Source organism: Homo sapiens, chromosome 22 (assembly GCF_000001405.40).
Source record: "Homo sapiens chromosome 22, GRCh38.p14 Primary Assembly".
Taxonomy (NCBI): domain Eukaryota; kingdom Metazoa; phylum Chordata; class Mammalia; order Primates; family Hominidae; genus Homo; species Homo sapiens.
In genome coordinates this window covers 18,521,769-18,549,411 of record NC_000022.11, presented here as the reverse complement: position 1 = coordinate 18,549,411, position 27,643 = coordinate 18,521,769, and the positions used below count along the sequence as shown (strand labels likewise).

At 54.9% G+C, this 27,643-nt stretch overlaps 1 protein-coding gene and 1 pseudogene across 4 annotated transcripts, besides 2 other annotated features; one reads left to right on the top strand and one right to left on the bottom strand.

Annotated features, from left to right (window-relative positions):
- Positions 1–583: 583 nt before the first annotated feature.
- On the top strand, positions 584–15,548 carry PI4KAP1 (phosphatidylinositol 4-kinase alpha pseudogene 1; annotated as a pseudogene). The gene is made up of 15 exons (NR_003563.1): positions 584–742; positions 943–1,094; positions 1,294–1,401; positions 2,039–2,166; positions 4,631–4,760; positions 5,675–5,745; positions 8,767–8,839; positions 8,940–9,010; positions 10,075–10,184; positions 10,668–10,772; positions 10,854–10,979; positions 12,000–12,762; positions 13,464–13,553; positions 14,084–14,167; positions 15,359–15,548. The product of NR_003563.1 is annotated as a phosphatidylinositol 4-kinase alpha pseudogene 1 (transcript).
- A 3,290-nt stretch (positions 15,549–18,838) lies between these two features.
- Positions 18,839–21,610, bottom strand: TMEM191B (transmembrane protein 191B). 3 transcript variants are annotated; one of them, XM_011546160.4, is made up of 10 exons: positions 21,136–21,610; positions 20,730–20,853; positions 20,545–20,595; positions 20,319–20,393; positions 19,915–19,971; positions 19,747–19,806; positions 19,556–19,620; positions 19,404–19,476; positions 19,216–19,256; positions 18,839–19,157 (listed from the first exon to the last, which is right to left on the bottom strand). In XM_011546160.4, the coding sequence occupies exons 1-10, from the start codon at positions 21,429–21,431 to the stop codon at positions 18,953–18,955; spliced, it is 1,047 nt and encodes a 348-aa protein (XP_011544462.1). In that variant the 5' UTR covers positions 21,432–21,610; the 3' UTR covers positions 18,839–18,952. The 3 variants fall into 3 exon arrangements, 2 of the variants coding, with proteins under 2 accessions (XP_011544462.1, NP_001229242.1); NM_001242313.1 differs by lacking the exon at positions 19,556–19,620 and having other exon boundaries at positions 19,688–19,806; XR_951236.3 differs by lacking the exons at positions 18,839–19,157; positions 19,556–19,620 and having other exon boundaries at positions 19,230–19,256.
- Positions 20,814–20,863: a silencer, noted in NCBI's record as "silent region_13450". NCBI's record gives its function as "represses an Ori minimal core promoter by ATAC-STARR-seq in GM12878 lymphoblastoid cells {active_cell/tissue: GM12878}" and the evidence as "EXISTENCE:reporter gene assay evidence [ECO:0000049][PMID:35858748]".
- Positions 21,290–21,870: an enhancer, noted in NCBI's record as "H3K27ac-H3K4me1 hESC enhancer chr22:20377409-20377989 (GRCh37/hg19 assembly coordinates)". NCBI's record gives its function as "activates a minimal SCP1, AML or CMV promoter by ChIP-STARR-seq in primed H9 embryonic stem cells {active_cell/tissue: H9 hESC(primed)}" and the evidence as "EXISTENCE:reporter gene assay evidence [ECO:0000049][PMID:30033119]".

Below are 27,643 nucleotides of genomic sequence, written 5' to 3'. Positions count from 1 at the left end.
ACGGAATGGGGACCTGGCTGAGCATGACTGGGCCATGGGAGCAGCCTGACCCTGGGCTCCCAGGCCTGGCCATGGTGGCTGCAGGCTCGCCTCGGCTCCATGGGCCTTCCTAATCTGGTTAGCGGGATGAAGGTATCGGGTAGGGTCTGTGTGGGGTGGAGAGGAGGAGCCAGGCCCTGGATCCAGAACCCTCTTCTGCCCTTGCCAGCTCAGCAGCCCACAGAGGGGTCTTCCCGCTCACAGCCACAGAGGGTTATCAGGGTTATAGAGAAGAGTCACCTACCCAGTGCCTGTCAGGGCATCAGGTACATCCCGGGTGCTGCCACCTCACACCTGCAATGTCCACACGGTGAACCGGGTTGAACAGAATGCAGCCTCGAGAGGCTGGAGAAAATACACCAAGCACTGACACAGATGACCCTGGGATGTGGGACTATAGGCGATCTTCATTTTTTTCTTCATACTTTTCTTGGTTTCTAAATCTTATTCAGTGAGCACGTGTTCCTTTTTTTAATTAGAGAAAACTTGACAGTAGCCCCTTTTTGTGTTTCACAGAGGAGCTAACATTCCTTCTGTACCTGTAGTTCATGCGGGAGATGGCAGGGGCTGGCACATGACAGTGGAGCAGAAATTTGGCCTGTTTTCTGCTGAGATAAAGGAAGCAGACCCCCTGGCTGCCTCGGAAGCAAGTCAACCCAAACCCTGTCCCCCCGAAGTGACCCCCCACTACATCTGGATCGACGTACGTGCCTGTTCCCCGACCAAGGCTGTGGGGTGCTCCACCTGGGGGGCCAGGACTGTTCCTGGGGTGGGGGTAGCCGAGCCCAAGGCCTTCGGCAAGCTCGGCCAGTCAGCCCAGAACCCCTCCTCAGCTGTCTCTGCCGGCCCCAGGGTTAGCCCGGCTCAGCCCCACCACCACAGCGTCTTCCTCTTTTCGCTCAGTTCCTGGTGCAGCGGTTTGAGATCGCCAAGTACTGCAGCTCTGACCAAGTGGAGATCTTCTCCAGCCTGCTGCAGCGCTCCATGTCCCTGAACATCGGTGGGGCCAAGGGGAGCATGAACCGGCATGTGGCGGCCATCGGGCCCCGCTTCAAGTGAGGGCCCTCTTCCTGGGGAGCACAGGGCCCCTGGTGTGTACAGTGTGTCATGGGGCGTCTGTGTATCACGGTACTTCTGTAGACGGGGAACACATTTCAGTGAGCTGCTCCTGGAAGGGCAGGGAAGAGAGTCCATAAGGTGAACTTGGCCCCAGGCCAGGCTCCTGCTCTGACCGGGTCCGGGGCTCCCTCACAGGCTGCTGACCCTGGGGCTGTCCCTCCTGCATGCCGATGTGGTTCCAAATGCAACCATCCGCAATGTGCTTCGCGAGAAGATCTACTCCACTGCCTTTGACTACTTCAGGTACTCCCCCAAGATGTGCTGTGCGGCATCCAGGGACGGCCCAGCCCCTCCAAGTGCTCCATCGCCCCAGACCCCCAGGAAGTCACTCACAGGAATACACAGTTGCCCAGTTGTGCTCACCAACCTCCTCCTTCAGTATCCCTGGCCCTGTGGATTTAAATACCCTTCAGCCCTGTGCATGTGTCCCGTGTACTTAGAGCTAGCCTCCCAGCGAGATGTAGGCAAATTTTCCCTCAGTTCAACTGATTTAGGAGATTAAGTGCGTCCATTTAATTTCCCTGTTAATGTGAAGGCTTATTGCACGAAGAATTGCAAACACCCACTGCCTGGGGCTCTGCACCCATAGGCTGTGCTGTTGTGTGAGTGCAGCTTCCTTGCCCTGATCTGCCACAAGTGCAGCTTCAGTGGAAAGCTGTAGGGGCTGCTGTGGGCAGTGAGGGAGGAGGGCATAAGAGGGCTCCCGAGCCACCACACCTTCCCATGGGAATGGGCCAGATCATCCTTGCTAATGACTGGCTTTGGGCTGACCTTTTGTCATTAAGAAATTGTCTGCATCACCTTCTCACTGCTTTGTGTGACTGGCCTCTAGTCCCTGACTCCAGACACTCAGCCGTTGTCCTCTTATGGTTGTTTGAAGCTGTCCCCCAAAGTTTCCTACTCAAGGAGAGAAGCGGCTGCGTGAAGACATAAGCATCATGATTAAATTTTGGACCGCCATGTTCTCAGATAAGAAGTACCTGACCGCCAGCCAGCTTGTTCCCCCAGGTAACCCTCAACAGTGCAGCTGCTCATGGTGGAGGCAGGCAGGACAGGGGTGCAACGTGGGCAGCCCTGAGGGTGCCAGAGGTAGGGACGGAAAAGCAGTTAGACCCCCCTGAGCCCTGGCCTTGACTGTGTTGCACGGTCATTGGAGGCCGGTGCATGCCTGGCTCTGCTTCTCCTCTGGCCTGAGCTGAGAAGCATAAACACGCACCCGAGGCAGCTGAGCAGACTCCACTCACCGCACTTTCCCTGCACTGGCACCAGCTGCGTTCACACACCCCTCTGAGCAGCTGACGGCCCAGGATTGGGCTGAGGCTGGTGCACACCTACATGACTGGGGTATGGTCTGTTGTTGTCTTGTAGGAGGCAGTCAAATGGACAGGTGATTTCAATTTGAGGGAACTGTGGGAGCAGTCCTCCGGTACAGACACTTGGCCCATCCAGAGTTGGGGAATCAGAGATGGTTTTCTGGAAAAGAGACAGTTGAGCTGAGTCTGAAAGGCTGCACCGGCATGCAGGGTGGACAGGGCAGAGCATTCCAGGGAAGGGAATGCCAAATGAAAACATGCCACGCAAAGAAGCAGCAAACCTCTGTAAGGAGGCCATGCCCTGTTCTCTCAGCGCCTAGCTGATTACTAAGCACAGACTGAGAGACGAGAGAGGGCTTTCTTTTTTTTTTGAGAGACAGTCTCACTCTGTCGCCCAGGCTGGAGTGCAGTGGCACAATCTCGGCTCACTGCAACCTCTGCCTCCCGGGTACATGCCATTCTCCTGCCTCAGCCTCCCAAGTAGCTGGGACTACAGGCGCCCGCCACCACGCCCGCCTAATTTTTTGTATTTTTTTAGTAGAGACGGGGTTTCACCGTGTTAGCCAGGATGGTCTCGACCTCCTGACCTCGTGATCCGCCCGCCTTGGCCTCCCAAAGTGCTGGTATTACAGGCGTGAGCCACCGCACCCGGACTTTTTTTTAAATTTTTTTTTTTTGAGACGGAGTCTCGCTCTGTCGCCCAGGCTGGAATGCAGTGGCGCAGTCTCCGCTCACTGCAAGCTCCGCCTCCCGGGTTCACACCATTCTCCTGCTTCAGCCTCCCGAGTAGCTGAGACTACAGGCGCTCGCTACCACACCCGGCTAATTTTTTGTATTTTTAGTAGAGATGGGGTTTCACTGTGTTAGCCAGGATGGTCTCAATCTCCTGACCTCGTGATCCGCCCACCTCAGCCTCCCAAATTGCCAGGATTACAGGCATGAGCCACCGTGCCCGGCCAATTTTTTTATTTTTTAGTAGAGACGGGGCTTCACCATGTTGGCCAGGCTGGTCTCAAACTCCTGACCTTCTGATCCGCCCGCCTCAGCCTCCTAAAGTGCTGGGATTACAGGTGTGGGCCACATTGCCTGGCTGAGACCTTCTGATCCGCCCACCTCGGCCTCCTAAAGTGCTGGGATTACAGGTGTGGGCCACATTGCCTGGCTGAGACCTTCTGATCCGCCCGCCTCAGCCTCCTGAAGTGCTGAGATTACAGGCATGAGCCACCGCGCCCGGCCCAGAAAGAGTTTTTAAGGGAAGCTATTGAGCTCACAGCAGCAGATCCAAGTTTTCCAAAAAAATGTTTCAGTTCCTTTGAGTGGAAGATTTATTTTTTGTTCATTTTCAGGAAAACATCTGCCACATCCCTAAGTCTGAATAGCTATATGTTGTCTGTCAGTCATTTCTTCAAGTAAAAACAAAGGTCTGTGAAAAAGGTTAGTCCAGGCTCCAAAATCAGACAAGCTCCAGGTGCTTCTCAGGACAGCGCCTGCCTTAGATGCGGCAAGAGTGCTTCGTGCACATCCCGTTTCATCACAAAGGATACTTTAAAAGCCAGATGTGGTGATGCGCACCTGTAGTCCCACCTACTAGCTGTAGTCCCAGCAACTCAGGTGACTGAGACAGGAGGATCTCTTGAGCCCAGGAATTTAAATTCAGCCTGGGATTTGAATAGTGAGAGACACTATTTAATATAGAGCCCCGCCCACTGTGTGCCTCTATTAAAAAAAAAAAAAAAGACATGTATTCAGGGTAGAGTTTAATAAGAATTAGTTTTCATTGCTTCACCTGTGACATTCATAAATGACACGGGCTTTTTTCTCCCTGCGTGTGCAGCAGTGAGGATTCTATGCCCTGTGACATTCATAAATGACACGGGCTTTTTTCTTCCTGCGTGTGTAGCGTGTGCAGCAGTGAGGATTCCACGTCCACTTGTGCGCTTGGCCCCTACCTTGAGCTCCGCTTAGGCACCAGCTTAGCTTCCCAGCAGTGTCGGCTGTGTCAACACAGCAAAAGGGGCACACAGCAGCTGTTATGGTCTCACCAAGCCTGCAGAGCATACTCTGGGCACCGCCAGTCTGGGGCCTGGGAAACAGGGCTGGTATTCCTGAGGGGCCTCTGCCACAGCCACAGAGACTCAGCCTCTTTGTTTCCTTGGCAGCTGACATCGGCGACCTCCGGGAGCAGTTAGTAGAGGAGAACACAGGCTCCTTGTCGGGCCCAGCGAAGGACTTTTACCAGCGGGAGTTTGATTTCTTTAACAAGATCACCAACGTGTCGGCTGTCATCAAGTAAGTGCAGTGCTTCGGAAACCACCTTCTGGAATCTTGTTCCAGTCCCTGCAGCTTAACAGAATTGCCTGGGAAGCTTTAAAAATACCCGTGCGTGGCCCCAACCAGATGAATGAGAGTCTCTAGCAGCGGGGCTGCTGGTGGTTCTGATGGACAGCCAGGGTGGGTGGGGAAGCACTGCTTGGGGTGAGTCAGGGCTCTTGAAGGTATGGCAGAATGCACGGCCACGCCAGTTTCAGGAAACACAGCTTAGTTTCATTCCTGAGATTTGTGGAATTTAGCACATGGCTCCACAATTTGAGGTCACCCTGCCCTCTCCACACTCTGAAGGATCGATCCTCTTGGTGTCAGGAAAACCAGACTGCCTTTGCAGCTCCTGTCATCGTTTTCCTAGACCTTCCATTCATGTGGACCTGACACCATCCTTGGATGTTGGTGGCTTTGTGCATTCATAAGGGATGAAACCCTGGAGTCATCAATGCTGGGCACGCCGGCTGGGCTGTCTCCATTGCGTACACTGCTCTGACCTTGGTCACTTTGAGGCCCTTTTCTGGGCTGGGTGCTGAGAATAGCAGTGCTGGCAGCTTCTAACCCAAGAGATGAAGGACGGGAGCTAGCGTTTCCTGGGTGGCAGCAGGTGGCAGGCATTATTACCCCCACCACCCCCAGCCACACACCCCCGCACACAGCAGGGGCAGAGCCTGCCAGAAAACAGCCCTTCCGGGGCTGTCGGGGATTCTCCATGAGGAATGCAGGGCAAGAATCGCTGCCAGTGGTGCCTGGCTGCGCTAGGAGCAGCTAGAGCCGGGAAGAGAGGGACAGAGAGGGCAATCCAGGCAGGAGGGGCCCTGGGCTGTCCCCCAGTAGCCAGTTCCTCCAGGAGACAAAGCAAGAATTTCTTTCCTGTTTCTCAGGCCCTACCCTAAAGGCGACCAGAGAAAGAAGGCTTGTCTGTCGGCCCTGTCTGAAGTGACGGTGCAGCCAGGTGAGCAGGTGGCTTCTGGAGGCTCAGACCAACCTCTTCCTGCAGGCGGGCGGCGGGGCGTGAAGGCTGCTGCCCTCTCCAGGCACTGCAGGATGTGGACACAGTGGCTTGGCCAGCCCCACACCTGCTTGGGCCCACGGTGCCTGGTGCCCCAGGACCCCAGCCCCTCCCCAAAATCTGCCGCTAGTGAGCGGGAGCTGCTCGTCAGTGGGTGCCCTTCATCTTCCTTGCTGCCTGCTGTTTTTCTGGAGGCTCACACTGACCTCAGTAGCTGTTACTCTAGAAGAGGGTTCCTAGGCTCCAGCATTACAGGAGCAGGTCACACAGACAAGGGGATGGCGGGCCCAGTGTGGGAGGGCTCAGGTGTGCTGGGACCCATCAGCACCACCCCCTCACCGCCTCCATGGGAAGTCGCTCCTGGGTGCCTGTGGCTGTGGCCACATGGGAATTCAAGCCGAGCTTTTCAAGAGAAGATGGAAATCCAGACTTCACTGGGCAGCTCTCTCTCCATTTCTTTTTTTTTTTTTTTGCGATGGAGTCTTGCTCTGTCGCCTCAGCCTCCCGAGTAGCTGGGACTACAGGCGCCCGCCACCACACCCGGCTAATTTTTTTGTATTTTTAGTAGAGTCAGGGTTTCACCGTGTTAGCCAGGATGGCCTCAATCTCCTGACCTTGTGATCCTCTCGCCTCGGCCTCCCAAAGTGCTAGGATTACAGGCATGAGCCACTGTGCCCGGCCTCTCTCTGCATTTCTAACTATTGGCACAAACTTGTCTTCCAAACTCTGTCTGTCCCGTGCAGATGTTCACAGCGGCTGGTCCTTGAGTGCCCTGCAGGACCCCGGTTTAACCATTTCTTCCCAACACATTGTATTGAGCTCACACAACAGCACGGCTTCCCAGAGAGGGCAGGACATGTATGCAGGGCCTCTGTTCCCGCATTGGGAAGGCCACAACTGCTGGGGAGGGGCAAAAAGAGCTGGAAGCATTGTACTGCAGGGGGCATGCACAGAAGTCCCCAGCCCCTGGCTCTAGATTGTGTTGGCTGAGTCTTGCCCCAGAGGTCAGGGAAGCCAGCAGGGCTCTAGCAGGAGAGCACAGAGGGGCCTGAGTGTGAGCCACAGCCTGGAGCAGGCAGAAGGGCAGGTGAGGAAGAGGAGGAGATGGCATGCCCCCCTCTCCCTGTACCCCACAGCAAGGCCAAGCTTGGCTCCCCTCAAAGCCCACCTCTCAGGGCTCAAGGAGCACACATCCCCCTTGGGGACTGGCAGTTCCTTGGCCAGAAACAGGCTTTCCCTTGTCCTCTTATTTCACACATTTACTGAGCACTCACTGAGAAAGGGGAGCCTGGGCCGGGCGCGGTGGCTCATGCCTGTAATCCCAGCACTTTGGGAGGTCAAGGCAGGTGGATCACCTGAGGTCAGGAGATCAAGACCATCCTGGCTAACACGGTGAAACCCCGTCTCTACCAAAAATACAAAAAATCAGCCGGGTGTGGTGGCGGGCGCCTGTAGTCCCAGCTACTCGAGAGGCTGAGGCAGGAGAATGGCGTGAACCCGGGAGGCAGAGCTTGCAGTGAGCCAAGATTGCGCCACTGCACTCCAGCCTGGATGACAGTGCGACACTCGGTCTCAAAAAAAAAAAATTAACCAGGCATGGTGACGCGTGCCTGTAATCCCAGCTACTTGGGAGGCTGAGAACAAGAATCACTTGAACCCAGGAGGTGGAGGTTGCAGTGAGCCGAGATCGCACCACTGAACTCCAGCCTGGGTGACAGAGTGAGACTCTGTCTCAAAAAAGCAAAAACAAGAAAAGAAAAGGCATGACATTGGGTATTGTGGCTGTTAAAAAGATGAGTAAGACATGGTCCCTGAGCTGAAGAAGCTTGAACTCACAGAGATATAAAATAAGCATAAAGAAACAATGTTGGCCTGGCACGGTGGCTCATGCCTTAATCCCAGCACTTTGGGAGGCCAAGGCGGGTGGATCACCTGAGGTAAGGAGTTCCAGACCAGCCTGGCCAACTTGGTGAAACCCCATCTCAACTAAAAGTACACAAATTAGCCAGGCGCGGTGGCGGGCGCCTGTAATTCCAGCTACTCGGGAGGCTGAGGCAGGAGAATCGCTTGAACCTGGGAGGCGTAGGTTGCAGTGAGCCGAGACCGAGCCACTGCACTCCAGCCTGGGCGACAGAGTAGGACTCCGTCTCAAAAAGAAAAAGAAAAAAAGAAACGTGTTAGACAAAAGTCCTAAAGGCTGGGAGAACCAAGGACAGTTCATGGACATAGTGACATTTAAGTAAGGCTTTTGAGAGAGTAGTGTTCAAATGGGTAAGGAAGGCCGGGCGTGGTGGCTCACACCTGTAATCCCAGCACTTGGGAGACCAAGACGGGTGGATCACTTGAGGTCAGGAGTTTGAGACCAGCCTGGCCAACATGGCGAAACTCCATCTCTACTAAAAATATAAAAATTAGCCAGGCATGGTGGCAGGCACCTATAATCCCAGCTACTCAGGAGGCTGAGGCAGAAGAATTGCTTGAACCTGGGAGGCGGAGGTTGCAGTGAGCCAAGATCGCACCACTGCACTCCAGCCTGGGTGATAGAGTGAGACTCTATCCAAAAAAAAAAAAAAAAAAAAAAAAACAGGGACTCCAAGAATGGAGGGCTGTTCAGAGGCTGTTGCTCAGGCAGGTGGAGGCAGGACAGGCCTCACACACACCCCCAGAAGCAGTAGGGCTGTATCCGTGAGGATGGGGCTCAGTGCTCCTCTAGGAAGAGCATTTCCCAGAAGGTGCAGACTCATTTGGTCGATGGTTGGAAGAGTCGAAGAGTCAAGGAGGACGGACCCTTAGCGGCCACAGAATAATAAGTTAGTGGTGCCCTGGACAAGGACCAGAGGCCCCTCCACAGGGGTGGGGTGTGCCTGCAGGGTGGACACGCACGTAACATCCGTGTTGGAAACTGACTCTGGCTCACCTGTGGTGACACATGCACTCCCTGTGACTGCCTCTGTCCCTGCACAGGCTGCTCCCTGCCCAGCAACCCTGAAGCCATTGTGCTGGACGTCGACTACAAGTCTGGGACCCCGATGTAGAGGTGAGCGCCTCACCCTACCCATCCCCCGCTTCCACAGCGTCCGCGTGTGAAGTTTTTCTCGGCTGCATCATGGGTGCCACATTCTTTTTGTTGTTTTCAGTGCTGCAAAAGCCCCATATCTGGCCAAGTTCAAGGTGAAGCGATGTGGAGTTAGTGAACTTGAAAAAGAAGGTCAGTAAAGAACCCTGATTTTGTTTGGGAGCTCAGTGCTTTTCCTTGCTAATGCCAGTTTCTTCTGGCATGTGTTAAATTTAGTACAGCTCTCCATAAAAGATGATGTCTGTCCATCTGTCTGCCCTCAGTCAGACCCCTCGCTAGGGGATGGCAGGGAGCTCAAATGCACTGACAGATGTGCCACCCCAGAGGTCTGTCTGCCATGAGTCAGCTGGCATGCTCCAGCAGGCTCCTTCCTGAGGCTGAGGGGCCCGGGGCCGTTGGGGGGTGTTAGTTTCCTGGGGCTACTGTACGGACGATCTCAGTTCTGGAGGCTGGAGTCCATCATCAGGGTCGTGCCCCCTCTGAAGGCTCTGGGCAGGTCACACCTTGCCTCCTCAGCTTCTGGTGGTGTTGCCAGCAGTCCTGGGCTCACCTTGGCCTGCAGATGCTCCACTCCCATCTCCGCCTCCCTCTTCACATGATGATCTCCCTTGAAGGACATCAGTCATTGGATTAGGGACTGTCCTAATCCACTGTGACCTTGTCTTAACCTAATTACATCTGCAAAGACCCTGTTTCCAAATAAGGACACATTCTAAGGTTTGGGGTGAACATGAATTTTAGGGAGACACTCTTCAACCCAGTACAGACGGTGTGGCCAGCTGTGGAGAGGGGGCTGCCACCCCTTGCAGGGACCTGCCTCCCATGGCCATGTCTGCACACTGGCCCCGAGCCCTCCCAGGACCCCAGTGTACAGACACATTCCTCCTGCCCCCCAGCTCACAGCACCCAACACTGACTCAGGCACACCTGGGTCTTCACTGCAGATGAAATGGGGCTCTGTTTTTAGTTCCATTTAAGCCTAAATGTTCTTAGACTCCAACCCTGGATTCCACCTGCTGTTCCAAGGCTTTCCTTGGGCCCTGCTGGGCTCCTCCTTGGCCTCCTTGGGGTTTTGAAGAAGTGATCCCCAAGATTGCTGGGGTTCCTTTCAGGCATGTGAGAGGACTCATCCCTGGCCCCCTCAGAGGGCTTCTCACTGCCTACAGGCTAACAGTGGCCTCTCTCCCTGCGGGCAGGTCTGCGGTGCCGCTCAGACTCTGAGGATGAGTGCAGCACGCAGGAGGCCGACGGCCAGAAGATCTCCTGGCAGGCAGCCATCTTCAAACTGGGAGACGACTGCCGGCAGGTAAGCAGGGTCAGGCCTCAAGTAGGCTTGGGGACTGGGCTTGCTGCTCCCCAAGGCTCCAGGCCCACCAGAGTCCAATCTCATATGCAGAAATGTGAATCTTTTCCTTCTCTTACATGGTTCAGGTGCCACGGGGTAAATTAGGGCTTCTGCAAAACCCAGAGGCCTCTCCTTCCAGCCCCTTTCCCACTGTCCCTGCCATGCCAGTGCCCACCTGAGGGAACTGTCCAGGGGTTGGGTGCCTTATCTCACACACCCCACCAGACAGCTCAGCCTCATGCTCAGCCCAGGGCCTGGTGGTCCCAGCAGCCTGAGTCCAGCCCCCGGTGGTCAGAAAGGAAGGCCTTCCAGACTCTTGCTCGGCTGTGGTCTCCCCACCTCACTCCATCTCTGGGTTCTCGGCTTTTGCCCTGCATGAGCCAGAAGAGCTACTGGGGTGCAAGGACGCCAACTGACCGCATCCTGCGCCTCCCGGCTTCCCAGGACATGCTGGCCCTGCAGATCATCGACCTCTTCAAGAACATCTTCCAGCTGGTCGGCCTGGACCTCTTTGTTTTTCCCTACCGCGTGGTGGCCACTGCCCCTGGGGTAAGTTCCCTGAGTGGAGCCAGTAGGGCAGCCCTGGGCACCTCGCACCCGGCGGGCCTCAGAACTGGCCTTTCCTCCTAGTGCGGGGTGATCGAGTGCATCCCCGACTGCACCTCCCGGGACCAGCTGGGCCGCCAGACAGACTTTGGCATGTACGACTACTTCACACGCCAGTACGGGGATGAGTCCACTCTGGCCTTCCAGCAGGTAGCCAGGGTGGCCACAGGCCGGGGAAAGTCGTGTGCGCTCCACCCTACCCCAGCCACCCATACCCAGCCTCTACCCACACCCTGCTCTCCTCAGTCATCCTTTGTTAAGGGTTAAAACCAGGGCACCTGGGCTGGGCACGGTGGCTCACGCCTGTAATCCTAGCACTTTGGGAGGCCGAGGCGGGCAGATCACGAGGTCAAGAGATCAAAACCATCCTGGCCAAAATGGTGAACGCTGTCTCTACTAAAAATACAAAAATTAGCTGGGCATAGTGGCACGCGCCTGCAGTCCCAGCTACTCAGGAAGCTGAGGCAGGAGAATCGCTTGAACCCAGGAGGCAGAGGTTGCTGTGAGCCGAGATTGCACCACTGCACTCCAGCCTGGGCAACAGAGTGAGACTCCATCTGAAAAAAAAAAAAAAAAAAAAAACCAGGGCACCTGGCCGGGCGCAGTGCTCACGCCTGTAATGCCAGCACTTTGGGAGGCCAAGGCGGGCAGATCATGAGGTCAAGAGATCGAGACCATCCCGACCAACATGGTGAAACCCCATCTCTACTAAAAGTAAAAAAATTAACTGGGCATGGTGGTGGGCACCTGTAGTCCCAGCTACTCGGGAGGCTGAGGCAGGAGAATCTCTTGAACCCAGGAGGCAGAGGTTGCAGTGAGCCAAGATCATGCCACTGCACTCCAGCCTGGCGACAGAGCGAGACTCCATTTAAAAAAAAAAACACCAGGGCATCTGTAAGCCACTTTGGGAGTCAAAAGAATGTAGAGCTGGGCTGGACTCCTTAGAAGAAAGTTAAGTTCTGAGTGTGGGAGGAAGTGCCTGCACCCCCACATCCAGACAGCCCGTCACTCCTGCTGCCGAAGACTGACTTGCTGATTCGGGCTCTGCCTCCATAGTGGGGGCACAGAGCCAGGGAGAGTGCCCACAGGCCCAGGGATCCTGGGTGTGGGACCAGGGAGAATGCCCACAGGCCCCAGGGCCTTTTTGAGCCCAGGGCGCTCTCTGCACAGGCCTGCTACAACTTCATCCGAAGCATGGCCGCCTACAGCCTCCTGCTGTTCCTGCTGCAGATCAAGGACAGACACAACGGCAACATTATGCTGGACAAGAAGGGCCATATCATCCACATCGGTCAGCCAGCCACAGCGCCACCCTCCTCTCCCTTCACCCCGGCACCCAGGGGTGGATAGGGATCCCCACCCCACAGAGAGGAGAATGCCCAGGACCACCCTGCCAGGAGTGTCAGGGTCCAGCTCTGAGGTCCGAACTGTCGGCCACCAAGCTGTTCTGCTGTAGAGGGTGCCTGGCCCCGGCCCCAGGGAGCTGGGGCGAGAGCCGCCATTGCTCTGAGTCAGAAGCTGGAGCTGGGCGGAGTGGGGCTCGTCCAGGTTCAGTGCCCCAGCTTGGCTCCTTCCTCCACTTCCTCCCTTCTCTTTCTCTGCCTGCTGCCCCACCACCCACCCCATCACTGTCTCCAAGAAAACACAACCTGCCTTTTGGGGGTGGAGGGGGTGCTCCTGTTGCAGAGTCCTTTTCCACTCCTCAAAACAGACCACTCGTCCTTGCCCGCCCTGGCTCCTACCCAGTCACAGGCAGCTCTTTGGGGTTTTGCAGACTTTGGCTTCATGTTTGAAAGCTCGCCGGGCGGCAATCTCGGCTGGGAACCCGACATCAAGCTGACGGATGAGATGGTGATGATCATGGGGGGCAAGATGGAGGCCACACCCTTCAAGTGGTTCATGGAGATGTGTGTCCAGGCTACCTGGCTGTGCGGTGAGCCTGGGTGAGGACCAGGGTGGAGGCGGAGGGGGTGTGTGGAACGTTCTGAGATCCCCTTTAGGATGAAGGGAATCCGGTTCCAGAGAGTGAGGTAGGTGCTAGCAGCCACCTGCTGACCTACACCTGTCCTTTGGTCACCTCTGTCTGCCCACCTGTGCCAGTAAATTCTTGCTCTGGGCATCTAATTCCAACCACCTTCCCCACAATCCTGCCCACGCCTTCAGCCATGGGCTCTCCCTTTCTGGGCATCCCATCCACCCTGTCACCAAAGCCTGAGCACCTGCCACCCCACAGGCTACGTGCCAAAGATGGGCTTTGTCCCAGTTTCATATACAGGTCACTTGGCCAAGGCCACAGTCCAACCTGGGTTCATCCCCACTGCCCCGCAGAGAAAGGCAGGTCAGCGTGTCTGCATCCCACCCAGGTGCAGAAGCCATGGCCGGCAGCCTTATGTGGGGGACAGGGCAGGACACTCAGCCTGTCCAGAGTGCGTATGGGCAGCCCTTGCCTGGGCAGTACGGGTGACCGAGTGCAGCAGATCGAAAGTTGCCTCGGGGATGTGCAAGATGTGGCAGGCGAGGTGGGTGGCAGGAGCCCACACCTGAGGCTGTTGGCATCAGCCAGTCCACAGGACTACAGGCAGGGCCACCACCTAGGCTGGCCTCTGCCCACCGCTCCCTCCTGTCTCTCCCCAGGCCCTACATGGATGTGGTCGTCTCCCTGGTCACTATCATGTTGGACACGGGCCTGCCCTGTTTTCGCGGCCAGACAATCAAGTTCTTGAAGTAGGTTCCTTGGTGGACACGCAGGCCATCTGGGGGACAGTTGTCCATTAGCTGAGGCTCCATCCAAGATAGGTACCTTTCATGTAATTGTCACTGTGGTTGTCATCTCCTTGGAACCTCAGAGCAGACAGGGTTCCTAGGTGAGGCTCTACCCCTAGACCACAACTGTGAGGGGCCCCTGCTTGTGCCGGCCACACCAGAGACCCACCCAGGGGCCTCTATTTATGTCAAGGATGCTACGCCCACCCCACCTCCACCCTAAGGTCTGGGGCTGCAGTAGCTTAGCTCCCCAATGCTTAGTCCCCTAATGCCATGGGGCCACTCAGGTGATGCTGGGAAGGGGACAGGGCCCATGATAGGCCAGGTGTGGCCTTCACAGCACCCCATCTTCCAACATGTGGACCCCAAAGGTACATTTCCAGGGCATGGCTCTCAGCTGAAGTCCGTCCCCATGGAAGACCCTCCTCCCACTGGGCCAGGGAGCCAGCACGGCCCTGCCCATGGCAGCCCTGACACAGCCTCTTCTCCAGGCACAGGTTTAGCCCCAACATGACTGAGCGCGAGGCTGCAAATTTCATCATGAAGGTCATCCAGAGCTGCTTCCTCAGCAACAGGTGAGTGCCCCGCCCCCCTGCCTTCTCCCACTGCCTCGGTGGCCACTGGGCACCTGCAGGGCCTTGCCTGCACCAGGCGATGAGGATTCTGCTGTCCCCAAGCCGCCCCTCTCATGAAGACCCAAGTCTTGACAGGAACTCTTGAGGAGCAGTGGGGTGCTGGTTTAGGGGGCTGTGGTGTGCCGAGGGGAACACTTGGCAGAGGCCGGGCCCACCTGGGCAGGGCTCGTGAGGCCGAAGGAGCAATAGGGACACAAGGCCAGGAGTATTAGAACTGAGTGTGGTGTCAGGCCTCCCTCCTCCCAGGAGGGCTGAGGAGTCAGAGCCCACTCCTTCCCTGCGCCTGCCTCGGGCTGCTTCGTGGGCAGTGACTGGAGGTGCAGGCCGGGCTGCTGGTCACTACTGTGGTGGGAGGAGATGGGTGCAGGGGGCCCTGGGGAGGGCTGGCTCAGGGTCTGAAGGCAGAGCACCGGGCTGACAGGCTCCCTGCTGTGGGAGTCAGAGGTGGCTTTGAGGGGTCCGGCCTGAACAAAGGGAGGATGGCGATCCCAGCAAGTGAGCCATCCCCGAAGGGGGCAGCACTTAAACATGTGGGGTTGGTAAGGCCCTGAGGGGCATGTGGGAGCCCAAGGCTGTGCCATGGGACAGACCACATCCAGACTAGGAGGAGGGGCCCAGGTGTGGCCATCTGCATGGGGAACTGCCGGAGGAGCGTGAGAGGAAGCTGAGACCTGCCCCCAGGTGGCGCCCAGGTCCGTCACCCTAACAAGGGCACTGTGGAGGCTGGGCACGGAAGGAGCTCTTGCTGATAGGAAGCAGAGAAGCCAGGCGGCCAGGACCTCAAGAGGGGCTGGGGCAGGGCGAGAAGGGGCTCTCCAGAGGTGCGAGGAGAGCGTACAGACCCCTTGGAGGCATCTGGCCAGGACGAGCCAAGGGGCCCGAGGCCCATGGGGCAGAGCAGTGGCTCCCACGGATGGAAGCGGTTTGGCTGAGGAGCATGAGGTGGCCTCAGAGTCCCCCGGGTTGGAGCAGATGTGGTCACTGGGTGGGGGAGGGCACGCCTGGGACATTTGTACCTTCAGGTGCTGGGCAGCCATAAGGGGCTGATTGGACAGGTAGGGCTCCCTGCAGGGAGGGACCCCAGACCCTGCTGGCTCCTCGAATCTCCCTTCACTCTTCTTGGCCTTTCAGGAGCCGGACCTACAACATGATCCAGTACTATCAGAATGACATCCCCTACTGAGGAGGGGACCTTCGAGGGCCTCTGCCCCATGTGCCCTTGAAGCTGCCCCACAATCATGGAGCCCTGCGACCTACCCGCCCTGCCGCCACATGCAGTGGAGGAGAGGCCTGTGGCCCGAAGAGCCTGGTAGCGCCTCCTGGGGCAGCACGTGGGTGGCGCAGGCTTAGTAACGCCGTGGACTGCAGCGACAATCAGTGGATGGTGCTGTCTATGCACAGGTGTGAGTCCTCTGTTTGCACTGGACATATTCCCTACCTGTTTTATTTCATAGGTACATGAAGTATTGTGTATAAAAAAAGAGATAAGATTTAACCAACATCAACAAAATAAAAACCCAAAATAGTGCTGTGTTGGAATCTGTGAGGTTTTGTGTCAAGTCCTAAGTCCACCTTCAGCCAAAGGGCAGTTCCTGGATTTGCCCCTAGAGAGGGGGGCCCAGTGTTGGCTGCACTCATAGGCTGGGGCCCAGGAGCACGGGTTGTGGCTTAACAAACATGAGATTCCCATAATCTCACCACGGCATAGGTGCACCAAAACACACATTGTGTTTGTCCTGACTGCTGTCTGCCCGCTCCAAAACTGTCTCCCTCAGGGCTGCCGTGGGGGCCTGTCTGTGGCTCTCCGCAGCATCTTCCCACTGCTCTAGTCTTTCCCTCTTGCTTGTTTTCAAGTGCTGTGCTCTGGAACTCCAAAATCTTTGTGTGACTAGACCCAGCAAGCATCTACTCCCACCCACCGAGGCCCTGCATCTGAAGCAGATAGGAATAAAGACCTGAAACAAAAGAGAAACTCCAAAAGATCAGCTAAACAGCAGCAGGTAAGAAGAGAAAATCAGTGATCAGAATAGTGAAATGACCAAACATGCAGTGTGAAGGAAAGGAAAGCCAAGCGGGGTGGCTCCTAATCCCAGCACTTCAGCAGGCCAAAGCAGGAGGATTGCTTGAGTCCAGGAGTTCAACACCAGCATAAGCAACACGGGAAGACCCTGTCTCTACAAAAAAATTTAAAATTAGCCACATGGTGGTGCATGCCTGTAGTCCCAGCTACTCAGGAGGGTAAGAAAGATAGGATCACTGGAGCCGAAGAGCAAGACTCCAGTGAGCTATGATGGTACCACTGCAGTCCAGCCTGGGTAACGGTCAAAAAAAAAAAAAAAAAGAAGAGTTGAATGAAAAGCTCCAGTCAACTTTTTCTTTTTTTTTTAGTCGGAGTCTCACTCTGTCGCCCAGGCTGGAGTGCAGTGGCGTGATCTCTGCTCACTGCAACCTGTCTCCCAGGTTCAAGCAATTCTCCTACCTCAGCCTCCTAAGTAGCTGGGATTTCAGCTGCACGCCACCACACCCAGCTAATTAATTTTTGTACTTTTAGAAGAGAAGGGGTTTCGTCATGTTGGCCAGGCTGATCTTGAACTCCTGGCTTCAGGTGATCTGCTCGCCTCGGCCTCCCAAAGTGCTGAGATTGGAGCCACCGTGCCCGGCCCCAATCAACTTCTAATGGGATTTCCAGAGTTGAAAAACACAAATATTCAGCTTTAGGAAGCACAGTTGAGTCCTGAGCAGTACAAATAAAAATATAGGCTGGGCACAGTGGCTCACATGTGTAATCCCAGCACTTTCGGAGGCTGAGGTGGGTGGATTGCTGGAGTCCAGCAGTTTGAAAACAGCCTGAGCAACATGGCAAGACCCCATCTCTACAAAAAATACAACAATTATCCGGGCATGGTGGCACAAGCCCGTAGTCCCAGCTACTCAGGAAGCTGAGGTGGATCGCTTGAGCCCGGGAGGTGGAGGTTGCAGTGAGCCAAGATCACACCATTGCACTCCACACTGGATGACAGAGTGAGACTGTCTTAATAAAAAATATGAGTCAGCGTATAAGTTAAAAGGAGTTTTAAAAGATACTAATCCAAAAGAAGGCAGAAAAGGAGAAACATAATAGACTTACCAGCCCAATTTAAAAGTCAGGGATTACAAACATGAATTGAAGAAGTGAGACCCAGTTATGTGCTGATTATAACCAAAGCACTTTACATATGAAGACAGATGTAAGATGAAAATAACAGATAGAAAAAAGACTGGCCATCCATAATCAAAATGTGTATGGGTGTTTATGAAGGGGCATTTCACAATAAGCAATTGACGGCGCTACCAACAAGAAAGTAAACACAGGAGCCCTGAACAAGCCTGTCACTCACCTGGACCTGCTGGGTATTTAGAACACACTCTGTCGGCCTGGCACGGTGGCTCATGCCTGTAATCCCAGCACTTCGGGAGGCCAAGCCAGGCGGATCACAATGTCAAGAGATCAAGACCATCCTGGCCAACACGGTGAAACCCTGTCTCTGCTAAAAATACAAAAATTAGCTGGGCATGGTGGAATGCATCTGTAGTCCCAGCTACTCAGGAGGCTGAGGCAGGACAATCACTTGAACCTAGTAGGTGGAGGTTGGAGTGAGCCGAGATTGCACACCACTGTACTCCAGCCTGGCGACAGAGCGAGACTCCGTCTCAAAAAAAAAAAATCACTCTGTCAACAGCAACAATACACTTTCTTCTCAGTGTTCATTACAAGCTTTGTGCTGGGCCACAAAACAAGTCTCAGTAAATGAGATAGAATTAAAATCATGCAGAGTGTATTCTCTGGCCACAGTGGAAATTAGGACTCAGTAAGATATCTGGAGAAAATGTTGGCCAGGCACGGTGGCTCATGCCTGTAATCCCAGCACTTTGGGGAGGCCAAGGTGGGCGGATCACGAGGTCAGGAGATCGAGACCATCCTGGCTAACACAGTGAAACTCTGTCTCTACAAAAAATACAAAAAATTAAACGGGCATGATGGCGGGCGTCTGAAGTCCCAGCTACTTGGGAGGCTGAGGCAGGAGAATCGCTGGAACCCGGGAGGCAGAGCTTGCAGTGAGCCGAGATCATGCCACTGCACTCCATCCTGGGCGCAGAGCAAGACTCCGTCTCCAAAGAAAAGAAAAAAAAAAGTAGCACATGTGATCAGAGGGAAAAGACCTAAGATGCTTTAAGGCGGTTTAGGGGAAGATGACAGCGATGAGCTGAGCTCAAGTAGTAAGAATACCAGAATACAGAGTGTGACTTCCCAAATAAACAGAAGGAAAGGGGAGCATTGAAAAATCAGGATCAACATGTTACAAATGGTAGAAATAAATTCAAATATAGTAGAAATAATTTCAAATCACAATACTTGAAAAGGCAGCTTGTCAGATTGGCAAAGTGTCAAATGCTATGTACAAGTTTCTGGCAATATGGCAAATTATGTATCCTGAAAAACTAAAAATGCTGTTTACAATACTGGGGAGTGGCTCTAAATCCATGAGCTGTAAGGAAGGAAGGAATCTTTGGAGGCTGAAAAGCCAGTCAAGCTCCTACATGACATGGGAGACAGACGACGAACCCACGAGCTTCATCCCTTGAGTTTATTAGGCAACCTTGGTCTACACTCTCAGGAGAGGAGTGCACCAGAAATAAAGCCAGGTGCCCTGGAGTCCACCTGGAGCCAGGCGCGGGGCGCTGCACTTAGGTTGGCAGCAGCCCGTTAGCGCGCAGCTCCAGCAGCGGGGACAGCGTGTAGCGCAGGCGGCGCAGCGTCGTCTCCGAGGTGAGGCTCCAGAGCCACGCGGAGACGGCGCCGGGGTCCAACAGCACCGTCCAGAGCAGCGACAGCCCCAGGAAGAGGAGCGGCAGCGTCAGCAGCACCTGCAGCGCGCCCAGCACGCACCGCCTGCGGGGCGAAAGGCGGGCAGGTGGGGGACCGCGGCCGCGCCCACCGCCCGGCTCACCTGATGGCCAGCGCGCGAGGGCCGCCGAACAGCCGCGTCTCCTGCGGGGAGAGAGGGCCGCATCCAGCTACCTCCGCGCCCGCGGCGCCGGCCCGGTTTCCAGGAGGAGGGGGAGGCGGTACCGCGGGGGGGACGGGGAGGGTTGTCCCGCTCCAGCCCACCCCGCCCGGACCCGCGCAGGCGCTCACTCGGTCCGCCCTGGCCATCTCCTCCATGAGCGACTCGGTGCTGTACTGCACTCCGCGAAGCTGCCCGTCACACCTGCGGGGACAGGCATGCAGGTGGGAGCCCAGCCCGGCCCCACAGTGCCCCGCCGCGCCCGCAGGCCCAACTCCCTTACAGTTCCCGGCCACTCTGCCAGGCGTCCAGCTCCTCCGCAGCCTCCATCACCTTCACCTGCACCTCCTGGAGCGGGTGAGAGTGCGGACTGAGGCCTCGGGGAGGCGTCCTGGCGGTGGGTTGGGAGACTTACCGCCCCAGGTCTGGGGGAGGAGAGGCGGGAGGCACCTTGGCGTCTGAGTGGGGCCGCACCTGCAGGACTACGGTCTGCTCCTGGAATATGGCCCAGGCCTCCGCTGTCTGCAGCGCGTCCTGGGTGTGGACACCCGGGTTAGACTCGGCGGCGTCGGGGCGACAGGCCCTTCCCCATCCACACTCGAAAGCCTACCCTCCTCCAACAGAACCCGCTTCTGCCCTCACCTGCTGCAGCTTCTCCTCCTGCAAGGCGCATTTGGTCTCCGCCAGCTCCAGTTCATTCTTGAGAAGGACCCAGGGAATGTCAGGAGGTCCGCAGGCCGGCAACCCGCTGCGCCTCCGGGCCCCGCCCCCGGCCCTCAGTGCCCGCCCCCAGGCGATCATGACCCCGCCCGCGTCCTCAGGACCAGTCGTAAGCAACGCCCCAACTGGTCATGGCCACGCCCCCTCCGCGCTCCGCCCCTATTCTAGCCCTCAGAGCCCCGCCCCCATGCGATTGTGCTCCGCCCACATCCCCCGCCCCGCCCACGCCTTCAGGGCCTGCCTTAAGCCACACCCCCAGGTGGTCACGGCCCCGCTCACGCTGCTGCTCCGCCCCTACTAAAGACCTCAGGGTCCCGCTCAAGCACCTGCAGCGTCACCAATTGGGCTGCGAGTTGCTGCTCCGTGCTCTTCTGGCTCTGCGGTTCCCCTCCGTAGAAGAGCTAGGGGCGGGGCTTGTAAGGGCGGGGTTTACCGGGCTTCTGGAGGAACGAGTGTCAGGGGAGACAGGGACGGGGAGACAACAAGGGCGAGGACAAGGGCAGGACTTCCGAGAGGAACCAAGAGACAGGCCCTCCCATCTCCTGCACGTACCTGACTCGACAGCTCCTCCCACTGCTCCTGCAGCTGCCTGCTGTGCTGCTCCTGCGGACGGGGTCCTGGGGCGGTGCCGACCTCTCCGCCGGTCCTACCTCACCCCACCCCCGGATCCCGCCCCCTTCCGCCCGCCCTGCCTCACCCCACCCTGGGTCCAGCCCCATTCTAGGACTCTTCCTCACCAAGTCCTCCTTGTGGCGCTCCGCCTCCTCCAGTCTTCTGCGCACCCGCTCCGCGCGCTCCCGCGCCGCCTCGCGCGCCTCCCCTTGCAGAGGCTGCGCTGCCTGGCTTCGCCTCCGCAGCAGGCTGCAGAGGGAAACTGAGGTTGGCGCTACAAGGCGGACTGGGTCGCTCAGGATCCCGCAGTCGCCAGGAAGGACCAGCCGCAGGCTCATGATTGAGGACTGGGAAGTCCTGGCCGAGTCCCCCACCTGGGTCCGCTGGGTGGATCACCCGTTCCCAAGGGCCTAGAGCAGAGATGCGGGCCCGGGCGGATCAGCCTGGTACTCTGCGAAGCACCTCGCGGCGCTGCCTGCGGGACCGACCCTCGCGCGCCCGCCAGGTAGAAGAGCGGCGTTCCCCGCGCACCTCCGCTCCCGCTCGCTCAGGTCCTGCAGGCGCTGGTTGAGGCTCTCGCTCTCGGCCTCGAGCCCGCGCATCAGCTTCTCTAGCTCCTGCTTCCGCTGGCGACCATCTCGGTTATCCTTCTGCAACTGCAGCAGCAGCTCCTGCGTCGCGGCCATGGCTGTGGAGACCGAGCCTAAATGCCGCCCGCCTCGGGGACCCAGCCTGCGGCTGGCAGGCGTCACAATGGGCGGCAGGGAGCGCCTAGCGGGCTGGATCACAATGGGCGGCAGGGGAAGCCCGAGCGTAGCCCGACACATGCCCCTTCTCACGCCGGCCGGAGGCGGGTCAGGCCGGATCACACTTAGTCCATCACTGATGAAAATTGTGTCAAAGAGCCGTAATTGGATCAATGAAAGGTTAATAAAATACTAATACCAAATGCAGGCAAGTTGAAGATTGGTTCCCCCACACTGCAGATGGCACTTGCAAACTGATCGATCTCTTGTGGAAAAGAACCCATAAATATGTTCGTAGCTTTTGACCCAATTATCCTTCTCCTGGGAAATTTATCCCAGAAAGGAGAAAAAATAATTTAAACCCACTACACACTAAATGGTTCGCTGAAGTGGTTACAGTAGCCACAAAAAAAGGAAACAATTTTAATGATTAAAATGTGCTTGGGTATTATGTGGTATGCCTAGAGCTATGATGATGTCTAGTGAAAAAGAATTTGATTTAGCATTTATGCTAAAGTAACTAAGATAAAATACATGAGCAAGATCCGTAAAGGAAACAGGAGGAAGATAAGCTCTTTCATTGCTTGGTGAGACTGTAGGTAAACTCGTCCTTTTAAGTATTATTATTTTAGAGGCAGGTCCTGCTGTCACCAGGCTGGAGTACAGTGGAGCAATCGAGGCTAGCTGCAGCTTCAATCTCCCAGGCTCAAGTGATCCTTCCGCCTTAGCCTCCCAACTTGTCCTTTTAAAATCTGCCTTTATTTGTCCAGTTACAATTATGAACTTGGATGCAAAAATCCAAAATACATTACTAACAAAATCTAAAGGGAAACAGAAATCCATGGAAACCAAACAGAGTTTATTCCAGAGATTGTTCAACATCAGAAAATCAGTGTTGTTCACCATATGGACAAACAGGGAAGAACTCCACGATCTCAATGGCGCACTTCAATAGATGCAGAAAACATGAAGATGAGGGTCACCATCTATTAATAATTTTTTTTTTTTCTGAGACAGAGTCTCATTCTGTTGCCCAGGCTGGAGTGCAGTGGCACAATCTTGGCTCACTGCAACCTCCGCCTACTGGGTTCAAGCAATTCTCTGCCCCAGCCTCCAGAGTAGCTGGCATTACAGGCACTCGCCACCACGCCCAGCTAATTTTTTTGTATTTTTAGTAGAGACAGGGTTTCACCATCTTGGCCAAGCTGGTCTTCAACTCCTGACCTCGTGATCCACCCACCTCGGCCTCCCAAAGTGCTGGGATTACAGGCCTGAGCCACCTCACCTGACCATCTATTGATAATTCTAAAAGCTCTAACAAAAGGGAGAGATAAAAGCACTCTCTAGTCTGATAAAGGCCACAGTAAACATTATAGTAAGGAGGAAGTATTAATAGTATATGCTTTTTTTTGCTTTTTTTTTTTTTTTTTAGAGTCAGGGTCCTGCTGTCACCCTGGCTGGAGTGCAGTGGTACGATAAAAGCTAACTGCAGTCGCACACTTCAGGGCTCAAGTGATCCTTCCGCCTCTCACCCTTTAAGAAGTAGTAGACGGCCGGGCACGGTGGCTCACGCCTGTAATCCCAGCACTTTGGGAGGCCGAGGCGGGTGGATCATGAGATCAGGAGTTCAAGACCAGCTTGGCCAAGATGGTGAAATCTTGTCTTTACTAAAAATACAAAAAAAAAAGTTAGCCGGGTATGGTGGTGCTTGCCTGTAGTCCCAGCTACTCGGGAGGCCGAGGCAGGGGAATCGAACCCGAGAGGCAGAGGTTACAGTGAGCCGAGATTGCACCACTGCACTCCAGCCTGGTGACAGAGGGAGGCTCCATCTCAAAAAAAAAAAAAAATGTAGTAGTAAAGGCCAAGCACAGTGGTTCACACCTGTAATCCCAGCACTTTGGGAGGCCAAGGTGGGTGGATCACCTGAGGTCTGGAGTTTGAGACCAGCCTGGCCAACATGGTAAAACCCCACCTCTACTAAAAATACAAAAAATTAGCTGGGCATGGTGGCCTATAATCCCAGCTACTCAGGAGGCTGAGGCAGGAGAATCGCATAAAACCAGGAGGCGGAGGTTGCAGTGAGCCGAGATCGTGCCACCGCACTCCAGCCTGGGCAACAGTGTGAGCCTCCATCTTAAAAAAAAAAAAAAAAAAATAGTAAAAGAGGCTGGCCACGGTGGTTCATGCCTGTAATCCCAGCACTTTGGGAGGCAAAGGAGGGCAGATCACGAGGTCAGGAGATCAAGACCATCCTGGCTAACACGGTGAAACCCCATTTCTACTAAAAATACAAAATTAGCTGGGCATGGTCGCGAGTGCCTGTAATCCCAGCTACCCGGGAGGCTGAGGCAGGAGAATGGCGTGAACCCGGGAGGCGGAGGTTGCAATGAGCCAAGATCACGCCACTGCACTCTAGCCTGGGCGACAGAGCGAGAGTCTGTCTCAAAAAAAAAAAAAAAAAAAATTTTTTTTGTAGGGACAGAGTCTCACTTTGTTGCCCTGGATGGTCTCAAAATTCTAGCTACAAGTGATCCTCCTGCACTGGCCTCTTAAAGTTCGTAATGCTTTGCTCTTTTAAGTTTGTCTCTTTGTGAACATGTAAGAAACTACGGGGCCGGGCGCGGTGGCTCACGCCTGCAATCCCGGCACTTTGGAAGGCCAAGATGGACGATCTCCTGATCGAGGCCATCCTGGCTAACACGGTGAAACCCCGTCTCTACTAAAAATACAAAAAATTAGCCGGGCGTGGTGGCGGGTGCCTATAGTCCCAGCTACTCGGGAGGCTGAGGCTGGATAATGGCATAAACCCGGGAGGCGGAGCTTGCAGTGAGCGGAGCTTGCGCCACTGCACTCCAGCCTGGGTGACAGAGCAAGATCCATCTCAAAAAAAAAGAAAAAATTTAAAATGAGCTGGGTGTGCTGGTGTGCACCTGTAGTCCCGGTTACTCAGAAGGCTGAGCTGGGAGGATCTCTTGGGCTTGGGAGTTTAAGGCTGCAGTGAGCTATAATCATGCCACCACACTCCAGCCTGGGCAACAGTGAGACCCCCAACTCAATCAACCAATCAAAAATGTCTTCAGATCGGGCGCGGTGGCTCACACCTGTAATCCCAGCACTTTGGGAGGCTGAGGCAGGTGGATCACTTGAGGTCAGGAGTTCAAGATGAGCCTGGCCAACATGGTGAAACCCTGCCTCTACTAACAACAACAACAACAAAAAAATTAGGTTGGGCGTGGTGGTTCAAGTGATTCTCCTGCCTCAGCCTCTCAAGTAGCTGGACTACAGACGCCCACCACCACGTCTGGCTAATCCTTGTATTTTCAGTAGAGATAGGGTTTCATTATGTTGGTCAGGCTGGTCTCGAACTCCTGACCTCGAATGATCCACCTGCCTCAGCCTCCCAAAGTTACTGGGATTACAGGCGTGAGCCACCACACCTGGCCAATATTTTTTAATTTTAATTTTTTGTTAGAGAGAAAGGATCTTGCTCTGTCACCCAGGCTGAACTTCAGTGGCTTGATCCTAGCTCACTGCGGTCTTGAAATCCTGGGCTCAAGGAATCCTCCCACCTCAGCACCCCCAGTAGCTGGGACTACAGCATGGCTGATTATTTTTTTGTAGAAATGAAGTCTCACTATGTTGACCAGGCTGGTCTCAAACTCCTGGGCTCAAGTGATCCACTCACCTTGGCCTCCCAAAATGCTGGGATTACAGGCATGAACCACCCCCGCTGGTCTTTTTTTTTTTTTTTTTTTTTGAGATCGAGTCTCACTCTGTTGCCCGGGCTGAGGAGCAGTAGCGCCATCCCAGCTCACTGCAGCCTCGACCTCCTGTGCTAAAGTGATCCTCCTGCCTTGACCTCCCAAAGCACTGGGACTACAGGTGTTAACATTTATTTTTAATTTTTTTATTTTTGAGACAGAGTTTCACTCTTGTGGCCCAAGCTGGAGTGCAATGGTATGATCTCAGCTCACCGCAACCTCCGCCTCCAGGGTTCAAGCAATTCTCCTGCCTCAGTCTCCCGAGTAGTTGGGATTACAGGCACTCGCCACCATGCCCAGCTAATTTTTTGTATTTTTAGTAGAAACGGGGTTTCACCATGTTGGCCAGGCTGGTCTCGAACTTCTGACCTCAGGTGATCCGCCCGCCTCAGCCTCCCAGAGTGCTGGGATTACAGGCGTGAGCCACCACGGCTGGCCAGGCATTAACATTTATATAAACTAAATACACAGGGTGAGTACAGACGGTTGGTAGGACAAGGAGGAGGATGGGATCAGAAAGGAGGCGGCGAGAGCACCCACCAGGGATGAGGACAAGGGACATGAATGCTGTGCACCAGGAGGGGACATTCTGCAGATGAAAACTCTGCAGGTCAGAAGGAGAGTTTAGGACGCCTGCTACAACCAAGCACTGGGTCCCCTTTCACTAATGTTGAGAAATGCAAGCAAGACTGAAGGTATTTTGGTTACTTATAGTGGACTCAAAACGACCACAGATTGTCTACAGTTCTCACCACCAGTAGGTGGAGCCTGTTTCCCCAGCTCAGGAATCTAGGCTCACCCTTGGGTCTTGCTCTGACAAACAAGATGATGCAGAAAAGACTTTGTGGGCCTCCAGAGCGTGGACCTCAGAGCCTTTATAGCCCCTCTCACCCCCTTATTTTTTTTTTTTTTCTGAGACAGAGTCTTGCTTGGTTGCCCAGGCCAGAGTGCAATAGCACGATCATGGCTCACTGCGGCCTTAACCTCCTGAGACCAAGCCGTCCCCGTACCTCCGCCTCCCGAGTAGCTGGGACTGGCAGCAGCACCAACCAGCAGGCATGCCGGCAAACCCCCAGCCCCCAGCCAGCCCTGGGATGACTGCAGCTTGGCCAGAGCACCCAGGCAAGGTCTGCAGAACCTTTTGAGCACAAGGCCTGTTATGCAGCAAAGAATTACTGGACGTTTGTATTATTCGCAAAGGATTACTAGTGACTAAATTGTACTCCTATGAATGTGACACTATGCAGCAACCAGGTGACTGGGGTGGGGTGGCTTTACATGAGCTATTCTTGCCATCTCATGTTATAATTGGTCCCCTAGTGGTCAAAGTTGAGGTGGGGGAGAGGTGGGGCGGGGACAGAACACAGGGAGAGGAGCTGCTGCATTTCAGCCCCCACCTCACTGTGCACACGACTTCTGTGAGCGTGTTCAGTCCTTACAACCTAAAGGAGCTGGCACTGAAGGCTTCCATTTACATAGAGGAGGGACACGAGGGTGCATGTGTCCTGAAGCTCCACCACCACCCTTGGATTCACACCCGAAGGTTAGAAAGGTGCTATCTGCCAGTGCTGGGCCTGGGGAAAGCCATTTAGGATCTGCTGCTTCTCTTTCAGATAAACTTTAGAACTGTCTTGTCAAATTCTCCCAAATACATTGTTGGGATTTGATAGGAGTTGCAAAAACAAAGCCTGTATGTGAAGCGTATATATTAAAAGGGAAGAATGGGCTGGGCACAGTGGCTCACACCTGTAATCCCAGCACTTTGGGAGGCCAAGGTGGGAGGACCACTTGATCCTAGGACTTCCAGACCAGCCAGGGCAACATAGCAAGACCCCTTTTTAAAAATAAAATATTAAAATAAAAATTTTAAAGGGAAGAATGGACACTCTCCATCATCAGGTATTGGTCCCAGGAACAGAGCATTCCCGTCCAATCCCACAAGTCTTGCCTCAGGCCTCCTACAAATGTGCTATTTCCAAATGGGCTTTTGGCACATTTATCAAGGCTATGCCTATGTCACTTGTTTCCCGTTACTATTATGAAAAGGCCTTTCTGAAAATTTCATTTGGAGGCCAGGCATGCTGGCTCATACCTGTAATCCCAGCACTTTGGGAGGTTGAGGTGAGTGCATCTCTTGAGCTCAGGAGTTCAAGACCAGTCTGGGCAACATGGCATAACCTCATCTCTCTCAAAAATACAAAAATTAGCTGGGTGTGGTGGTGTGCGCCTGTGGTCCCAGCTACTCAGGAGGCTGAGGTGGAGGATTGCGGGAGCCCGGGAAGCAGAGGCAGTGAGCCAAGAGCTACACTCCAGCCTGGGTGACAGAGCAACTGTCTAAAAGAAAAAAGGAGAAAATTGCATTTGGGATATACATATTACAGGTTAAATTGGGTCCCCCCGAATTCATATTGGAGTCCTAATTTTCAATACCTCAGAATGTGGCCTTAACTTGAAAACAGGGTCACTGCAGGTGTGATTAAGATGGGGTCTCAGCCGGGCGCGGTGGCTCATGCCTGTAATCCCAGCACTTTG